At 42.4% G+C, this 10,308-nt stretch overlaps 1 long non-coding RNA gene across 1 annotated transcript; it reads left to right on the forward strand.

Moving 5' to 3' along the window:
* Positions 1-2,357: 2,357 nt before the first annotated feature.
* On the forward strand, positions 2,358-9,801 carry LOC105373508 (uncharacterized). Its single transcript, XR_007087156.1, has 2 exons — positions 2,358-3,611; positions 9,615-9,801. It is a non-coding gene; the product is annotated as an uncharacterized LOC105373508 (long non-coding RNA).
* Positions 9,802-10,308: the final 507 nt, after the last annotated feature.

Consider the following 10,308-nt stretch of genomic DNA (forward strand, 5'->3'; position numbering starts at 1 on the left):
TAATTCCAGTAATATATGAAAATAATAATTCTTGGGTTTCATCTCAGGAATTCAACGTTTAACATTGGAAAATTATCAATGTAAATTCACCATATTAAAAAATAAAGCAAAACCAATAGATGCAAGAAAATTATTTGACAAAATTAAAAATCCAATTAAGAAAAAACTCTCAGGAAACTAGGAATAGAAGACAACTTTCTCAACACGATAAAAGGCATCTCTGAAAAACCTACAACCACCATCATAGCAAGAGGAATGATGAATTCCCTCCTAAGCGCAGCAACCAGGCAGTATGTCTACTTTTAGGGGTTTATGCAACATCATACTAGATGTCATAGTCAGTGTATGAAGACAAAGAATAAAAGATATAAAAGGCATACAGATTGGAAAGGAGGAAGTATAATTGTCATTATTGAGAAACAATATATTTATATACAAAGAAGATTTTTAGAATCTGCAAAAAAGCTGCTGGGACTGACAAACTGAAGTGTAACAGGGACATGGGGTAAAAATCACAGGCCAGTAAACAAAATGAACTGTATTTCCATTTACTAGCAACAAACAATTGAAGATTGAAATCTGGCTGGATATGGTGGCATGCATTTGTAGTCCCAGCTACTCTGGAGGCTGAGGCAGGAGGGTCATTTGAGCCCAGGAATTGGAGGCCGTGGTGAGCTATGATCATACCACTGCACTCCAGCCTGGGTGACACAGGGAGACCCTGTCTCAAAAAATAAATTGAAATTTAAAAACAACACTATTTACAATATCACCAAATGACACACATAGCAATATGTTTAGACAAAATATATTAAGGATCTACACCCCGTACACTATAAAACATTGCTGATATAAATTAAAGGACACCTAAATAAATAACTATACCACATAAATGGGAAAAAAGACTTAATATTATTAAGATGGCAATTCTCTTCAAATGAATCTATAGTCTCAATACAATCCTAATCAAGTTCTTAACAGGCTTCTTTTATAAATATTAGATAATTCTCAAATGTGTATGGAAATGCAAAGAACCTAGAATATCCCAAGATATTCCTTTGAAAAGGAAGACAAACATTAGAGTCTTCGCATTGCCTGATTTAAAGACTCACTGAAACCTACAGTGATGAAGACAATGTGAGACCAACAGAACATTAAAAAATGCCAAATGTGGACCCACACATTAATTGATTTTTAACACAGGGATGTGGATCCACACATTAATTGATTTTTAACACAGGGGCTAAGATAATTGAACAGGAAAAAGAGAGTCCTTTGAACATATGGTGCTAGAACAACTGTGTATTCATACTGAGGGAAGAAAATGAAGCTCGGTGCCGTCTCAGCATAAACAAAGAACACTCAGAGTAAAACTCAAAGTGGATCACAGACCTAAATGTAAAAGCTAAAATCGTATATATTTTAGAAGGAAACATAGGAGACTATCTTACTGATTTGGGATTAGACAACAATTTCATAGACAGGACACAGAGAGCAATAACCCAAAAGGAAAAATTGATATATTACCCTTAATCGAAATTTAAAATTCTGCCCATCAAAAGACACCACTAAGAAAATGAAGAGGAAAACTACAGATTGTGATAAAATGTTAGCAAAAACATTATCTGACAAAGGGCTTATATCCAAAAGAAATAAAAAGCTTCTGTAACTCAGAAATAAAATAAAAAGAACTCAATTTTAAAAGAGATGAGGCTGGGTGGTGGCTCACACCTGTAATCCCAGCACTTTGAGAGGCTGAGGTGTGCAGATCACCTGAGGTCAGGAGTTCAAGACCAGCCTGGCCAACATGGTGAAACCCCATCTCTACCAAAAATACAAAAAAATTAGCCAGGTGTGGTGGTGTGCACCTGTAATCCCAGTTACTTGGGAAGCTGAGGCACGAGAAGTGCTTGAACCTAGGAGGTGGAGGTTGCAGTGAGCCCAGATGACGCCATTGCACTCCAGCCTGGATGACAGAGCAAGACTCCATCTAAAAAAAATAAAAAAATAAAAGAGATGAGAGCAAAAGATATGAACACACACTTTGCAGAAAAAGATATACAAATGGCAAATAAGCTTGTGAAAAGATGCTCAACATATTAATAATCAGGAAAATGCAAATTAAAGTTGCAGCATGGCAGCACACGACCACCAGAAAGGCTAAAATTAAAAAAAGGTGGATGATGCATGGTCCCCACTGACCCCCCTTCCTGGTACTCCTGTCCTTGTGGCGTCCCTCCCCTTGAGTATGGGTGGGACCTATGACTTGCTTCTAACCAATAGAATATGGTGAAGGGGATTGGACGTCACTTCCGTGTTTACATCACAGAAGACCGTAACTTCCGTCTTGCCAGCCCATTCTCTCTAATGACTGTCTCCCTCGCTGGATGTGATGAAGTAGGCTACATTATGCAGCACCCCATGAAACAAAGAATTGAGTGTGACCACCAGGCAACATCTGGCAAGGAACTGAGTTCCAACAGTGCACAAGGAAGTGAATCCTGACAACAGTCCCAAGAGCTTAGGAGTGAATCCTTCTCCACTCCAGCCTCAGATAAGTCTTGCCCTTAATTGCAGCCTCATGAAAGACTCTGAAACCTTGGGCCCAGGTAACCCATGCCAAGATTCCTGACCTGCAGAAACTGTGGGTCATCAAGCATGTTCTTTCAAGTCTCTACATGTGTAGTAATTTGTTATGCAGCTTTAGATAACCAAGAGATGGAACAATTGGAACTGCCCTACAGTTACGGTGGGGCATAAAATGACACAAGCATTTTGGAAAACAGTTGGGCAGTTTCTTATAAAATTAAACAGACACTTACCCTAACACCCAGCATTGTGCTCTAGGTATTTACCTAAGAAAAATAAAACGTGTTTATACAAAGACTTATACATGAATATTTATAGCAGTTTTATACATAATAGCCTACAAGTAGAAACAACTCAAATGTCCATCCAAAGACAAATAACTAAAGTATGGAATATTCATACAGTAAAATACTACTCAGCAATCAAGAGGAATGAGCCACTAACACATTCAACAACATCGATGAATGTCAAAAACGTCATGTTGAGGAAAAGACCCCAGACATAAAAGAATATATTATATATTAGTCCATTTATATTAAACTCTAGAAAGCACAAATCTAATCTTTGATCATAGAAAATAGATCTGTGGTCATCTAAAACTGGGGGTGTGAGGTCAGGATTGACAGCAAAGGCTCACAAGCCTGACTTTTGGGGGTGGTGGGCAAGTTCTACATCTTGATTGTGACAGTATTTACAATCAACTGTCAAAACTCATGGAGCTGTTCACTTAAAGTTGGTAAATTATATTTTATGTAAATTTTTCCTTGATAAAGTTTTTTTAAATGATCTCAAGGTGGATTAAAGACTTAAACTGTAAAACTCCCAGGAGAAAACATACAGAGGATCCTTCATTATATTGGTATTGGCAGTGATTTATTGGATATGATGCCAAAAGCACAGTACACAAAAACAAAAACAGAATACAGCAACGGAACAATTAACAGAGTGAAAAAGTAACCTGTGGAATGGGAAAATGGGAATGCTGTTCTGCATAGCAACGGAACAATTGGCAGAGTGAAAAGGTAACCTATGGAACGGGAAAATATATTTGCAAACTATATATCTGACAAGGGGTTAATATTCAAAATTTATAAGGAACTCATATAACTCAATAGTAAAAAAGTGAAATAACCCAATTTAAAAATGGGCTAAGCACTTGAGTAGTCATTTCTTTAAGGAAGGCATACGAATGGCCAAACAGTACATGAAAACATGCTCAACATCACTAATCATCAGGAAAATGCAAATGAAAACCACAATGAAATGTCACATTACACTAGTTAGGAGGGCTATTACCCGCCCCCACCCCCACCCCTATCCCCCCAAAAAAACACAGAAGGTAAGCATTGGAGAAATTAGAGCCCTTTTACACTGTTAGTGAGAATATAAAATGATGAAGCCACTATGGAAAACGGTATCTTAATTCCTCACAAAATTAGAAATAGAATTAGTTTATGGTACAGCAATCTCACTTCTGGGTATTTATCCAAAAGAAGTAAAATTAGGATCTCAAAGAGATATTTGCACTCCCATGTTTACTGTTGGCTATTCGCAATAGCCAACATGTGGAAACAAACTAAATATCCATCAACAGGTGAATGGATAAAGACAATAGGGTACATATGGACAATGGAATATTATTAAGCCTTAAAAAGAAGGAAATCCTGCCATATGCAACAACTTGGATGAAAGCGAGGACATTATAGCAAGTGACATATTTAGGACAAATACTGCATGATGTCACTTAAAAAGGTATCTAAAATAGTCAAACTCTTATAAGCAGAAAGTAGAATGGTGGTTGCCAGGAGCTGGGGGAAGAGGGACATAGGAAGTTGTGACTTGATGGGTATAAAGTTTCAGTTAGGCAAGATGAGTAAGTTCTAGAGATTTGCTGTACAGCATTCTGCCTGTGGTTCACTATACTGTAGCATACACTCAAAAATTTATTAAGAGGGTAGATCTAATGTTACATGATCTTACCACAAGTAATTTTTTAAAAATAAATCTTCCAATAGCCATTTGCTCAAGGGCTATCTTCTGCTGCACCTAGACCAGGTAGGTGTGTGTTGGCTGTGCAACCCTGAGTTTCCCTTTCCACCATACTTTTTACACATTTGTGTCATGGACTGTTTAGTCGTGGGTCTTTCCATCTAAAATACAAGCCCTTTGAACCCAGGGGCTGCAGCCACACCGTACACTATTATCTCCTCAGTGCCGACAGTGCCTGGCCTGGGGCAGACACTCAGCAAATATTTGTGGAATAAATGAAACTATGTCGTTCTTCTGCCATTGTGTGGGGTTAGTCAGTCTTAACTGAGCTATTTTGTGGTCTTTATAAAATTCCCCATTGAAGACTGTGCATTCCATCCTGACTGAGTTTCTACAGACTTACTGTATTTCTCTGCCAAGTTCACTCCAACAGACAACTGTGATCAAAACTATGATGCCAGAATTGGTCCAAACTAAGAAAACCCTCTCCCCCGCTCATTTCTGTCTGGGCAGGCTACTCATGACACTTGACAAGTCCCAGCCTTGATCAAGAACAGCTGGACTGAGCTTCTTCCCATGTTTCAGTGTCAGGGAATGGAGGAGGGTTCTTACCAGTTCTTTCAGGCGAGATTGGCAATTCCTTCCTCCGGGAACCCCAGAGCCGGCTGTTCTTACCTCTAGCCTAACATCAGATGATTGTGTTGTTGACCTTCTGATCAGATACAGAAGCTGTATGATTTCTACAAAGGGAGAGTCAAAATCGCCTTTTAACGACTGAAACAGGAGACTATGGGGACTGGGGCACTGCTGGTACTGCCAGACTCTGTCCCACGTGGTGTGACTTGATGGGAAGGGTTTTTCCATGAATGGCCCACACAGGCATGCTTATTGAAAACATATGTAAAATATACCCATTACATCATTCTTCCAGCCTGTGCTTTCCTGGGAAATCCCAGTGTAGTAAAGTTAGGAAATCTAACTGCTTTTCCACTCACACAGCACTTTACTATTCACATTGGCCAAGTAGGGGAGCCGCACTTGGCTTGACTCTCTCCCTGTGTTTCTGCACATAAAGGAGCAGATGTAAGAGTCCAAATGGTTGATTCATCCACAGACCCTAACACCTTAAGGTCACGGGTGAATAGAGAAGCAAGAATTAACAATTTAATGCTTTATTTCCAATACAACATGGAAGTTCAAAATTAAATATCAGGCTGGGCACGGTGGCTCACACCTGTAATCCCAGCATTTTGGGAGGCTGAGGTGGGCAGATCACCTGAGTTCAGGAGACTGAGATCATCCTGGCCAACACGGTGAAACTGTCTCTACGAAAAATACAAAAATTAGCCAGGCATGGTGGCGGGCACCTGTAGTTCCAGCTACTCAGGAGGCTGAGGCATGAGAATTGCTTGAACCCAGGAGGCAGAGGTTGCAGTGAGCCGAGATTGTGCCACTGCACTCCAGCCTGGGCAACAGAGTGGGACTGTGTCTCAAAAAAAAAATTTTTTTTCAAAAAAAATGGAGTATCAATCCCGCCTGTGTTTGAAACAGTTAAGAGATCTCTGTCTCCTCCACTGTTCTCTGGGCAGCAGCACCACAGGACCAGCTTGGCCCCTTCCCCATTCAGAGTGGAAAGTTATTCATCTTTCCATCAAGGACACCTGGATGTTTACTTATTCTGTATTTCTAGAGCACAACCAAGGAAGGGGCCGCTTTGGGGGTACCCAGGGAGGATGTGAAGGCCATTGAACAAGCGTTGCCGCTGTGCTAAGTAACCCTTCTTCCTTCCTCAGATCGTTGGCTGGGGCAGAATTGGCCCAGGCAAACAGCCACGCTGCATCCACTCACATTTCCCACATTTTTCATAAATGCTGCAAATTTTCCCAGGGTTTAATTCAAACCAAAATATGTGTGTTCCTATCTACTGTGAGCAGGGGACCAGACACACACAAGAGTAGACTGAGGCTCCATTTTCTGGCCCATTGCAAAATTTATTTTTCTGTGCACTTGCCACTTGAGGGTGTTTACCTGCTGCAAGATACATTACACCTTCGTAGAACTCAGGGCTAAAGGGGAGGTCACTTGAGGTGTCACAGCAACCATGGAAAACTGAAAAAGGCTTTACTAGGAATCATGTGGACCCAGTGAGCAGACGTGAAGCAGCTGTGAAGATCTAAGTCGATCTGAACGCAACAATCTCTTTTGGTCCCTTTCAGCCCTGAGTTAGGCAGCTCTGATGTGTTACACTTCGCGGAGCACTGCTGAGGCAGCTGAGGACAAGCCGACCCAAGCCTGCCCTCATGAAGCTTGACGCACGGATTTCACATTCAACGCCTACCCCCGTCACTGGATTCCATCCAGATTTGACTGACTTGAGACCAGTCCCTTTGTTCTTGGCTGCAACTGCACCGACCCAGACCCATGCCCCTCTGAAACTGGCTGCTCTGCTTCCCAGCCCCCAAAATGATTGTCCCCCAGATAGCTTTGAACGGAGGGGTCTCCCGGGATGCAGAACATTTAATGCTAAAAGCAGAATGTCCCAGGCAACCCGGGCTGAGTTGGTCACCTTACCTCCAAGTGAGAGATGACCTCATCAGGAGGGAAAGTGAAAGTGGAGAAACCAGAAGCAGTTTCTCACCCGGACTACTGCAATAGATCCATGCAACTTGAACAACCACCACTTTCCCTGGCATACCTGTGTTCACACACAAATGTGATTGAGGGGAATTGCAGAGGCCGCAGTCTAGTAAAATGAGCTTTTCACTAGACTGACATCCAGAGAGACAGCCATAACCCAACCACTGGTGACCTGATCTCCCCTCCAGATTCTTCCCTTGTGGCTACTCTCCCTCCACACTCACCCCCACATTTCAGGCCCAGAGCCTGCCAGTTCATGCTGGGCCCCAGACAGTTGCCTAAATGGTTCCCTCTGCCTTTCCTGCCAGCAACTCACAGATACTCACTTCATTTCTGCCTCTGCCTCGGCCCCTGTCCCTGCTTCCATCCTGTGTCTGCTGTCCCTGGCAGTAGGAGCAATAGTTAAGAGCCCAGGAAGTGTGGGAGTCAGATACCTGGGGTCTGGATATTGCTTCTTTCCAGTGGGCACCCTGGCAAGTCACACTCTTCAAGCCTCAGTTTCCTCATCTGGAAAATGAGAATATCTACCTAACGGTAAGATGATATACCTGCATGAAGAGTGACACAGGAAAACCCTCAACTGATGGAAACACTCTAGTCCAGTGCAACCATTTGTTTACAAGGTTTATGCTTTGGTCTTCATGTTCCTAGTGCCTGGCCTGAGCTATCTGTTGAATGAAGGAGGTTTGCTGAAAAGATGAGGATCCAGCTTCTTGTAGAACTGGTTAGTGAGAACATCTGTATTAATCAGGATTCTCCAGAGGGACAGAACAAATAGGATATATGTATATATGAGAAGGAGTTTATTAGGGAGAATTGGCTCACATGATTACAAGGCAAAGTCCCACGAAAGGCCATCTGCAAGCTGGGGAAAGAGGAGCCAATAGTGGCTTAGTCTGAGTACCAAAGCGTCGAAACCAGGGAAGCTGACAATGCAGCCTTCAGTCTGTGGCCAAATGCCCAGGAGCCCCTGGCAAGCCACTGGTGCAAGCCCCAGAGTCCAAAGGACAAAGAACCTGGAATCTGATGTCCAAAGGCAAGAGGAGCAGAAGCAAGTGTCCGGCACTGGAAGAAGAAGGAAGCTGGAAGATTCAGCAAGCAAAACCATGCCACTTTCTTCTGCTTGCTTTGTGCCAGCCATGCTGGCAGCCGATTGGGTGGTGCCAACCCACATTGAGGGAGGGTCTTCTGCTCCCAGTTCACCCACTCAAATGTCAATCTCCTCTGACAAAACCCTCCCAGACACACCCAGAAACAATACTTCACCAGCCATCTAGGCAACCCTCAATCCAATCAAGTTGACACCTAATTATTAACCATCACAGCATCTTTTCATTAATCTTAGGGACAACTGCAAAAGTGACAAGTTGTGCTTTCCCAGCCCAGAGGGGTGAGTGACAAAGACATTCTCAAGCTCTTCACGTCTCAGAGTGGAGAATTTGGCACATGCGTAACAAAACTCTTCAACATGGTCAATTTGACAATTGCACTTCTAGGAATTTGTGCTACAAAAATAGTCAGAAATTTATACAAACATGTCCATACAAAGTCACTGGGAACAGTGTTGTTAATTGGAGTGAGAATTATAAGCATCCTAACTATACACAGTGGTTGGATGACATGCCTAGGTAAGAGGTGCGGACAGGCTGAGAACCCAGATTTTCAAGCCAGGCTGCCTGGGCCTTGCCAGCGGTGCACCCTGGGCAAGTACTTAGCATTTCTGTGCCTCTACATCCTCATCCACAAAGCGGGGCTAAGATGAGAAGCACAGGCCTTAGAAAATTCGCTGATATGTATGAGGCCTTCGATATGAATTAGCTACTAGGATTATTTTCCTACTATTAACAGTTCTATCATAGAAGGTGAATGATATGAGACGTTTTCACAAATATATTATCAATTTTTCTAAAATGGATACAAAAGTGGATGATTAGCATAACTCTAATTTAAATTCTAAAATGTAGCTTTTAGAAACAGAGGAATATGGGCTGGGTGCAGTGGCTCATGCCTGTAATCCCAGCCCTTTGGGAGGCCGAGGCAGGTGGATCATAAGGTCAGGAGTTCGAGACCAGCCTGGCCAACATGGTGAAACCTTGTCTCTACTAAAATACCGAAAATTAGCCAGGCATGGTGGCACACACCTGTAGTCCCAGCTACTCAGGAGGCTGAGGCAGGGGAATTGCTTGAACCTGGGAGGCGCAGGTTGCAGTGAGCCGAGATCATGCCACTGCACTCCAGCCTGGCAACTGAGCAAGACCCCATCTCAAAAAAAAAAAAAAAAAAGAAATAGAGAAATATGTACTGTAATCAACAATGGTTACCTTTGGGTGATAGAGTTACAAGTGGCTTTTTCTTTTCATTTGCTAATTTTCTGTGTTCTTATCTCCTGTGATGAATAGTTTCTTGCAGCTTGGTGTGGTGGATCTCACCTGTAATCCCAGGACTTTGGGAGGCCGAGGCAAGAGGATTGCTTGAGACCAGGAGATGAAGACCAGCCTGGGCAACATAATGAGACCCTGTCTCCACAAAAATAAAATAAAATAAAATAAAGATAAAAATAAAAAATTTAAAAATAATTTTTAAAAATAGTTTATGGCCACATTTATACCAAAATGGTAAGGTGGTGGTGGGACGACCTGCAGGAAAACTTGGTCCAGGAAGGGGACCTAGGTACTAGTGCCCATCTCCCCCTGGGTGGAAATTCAGGCATGTCCTTTCCTCACGCATGGGGAATGAAGGCATGGGCTACAAGCAAGCCTGTCTACATTCCCTCTAGCTCTGAGTGCCTCTGAAGCATGTGGTTCAGATGTAGGGACATGTTAGATGCTTGCTAGAGAGATAGAATAGAGGGTAAGCTGAAAAAAAATTATCTTTACATGAAGTAAATTAAATGGAAGCCAGTTTCCTCATAAAGGCCAATTCCGAACCCTATTAGTCATACATTAAGGCCTATGATAAGCCAGGCCACTCTAGTCTAAGTGTCCTGAAGGTAGTGATTACCTCCTTGGTGAGATTAGAGGAGCCACAAGAGGCCTAGTTTCTGAAAAATATCCCTTCTAGCAACTTCTCAGGTGTCTTCAATCCCTGTGTTCT

Source organism: Homo sapiens, chromosome 2 (assembly GCF_000001405.40).
Source record: "Homo sapiens chromosome 2, GRCh38.p14 Primary Assembly".
NCBI lineage: Eukaryota > Metazoa > Chordata > Mammalia > Primates > Hominidae > Homo > Homo sapiens.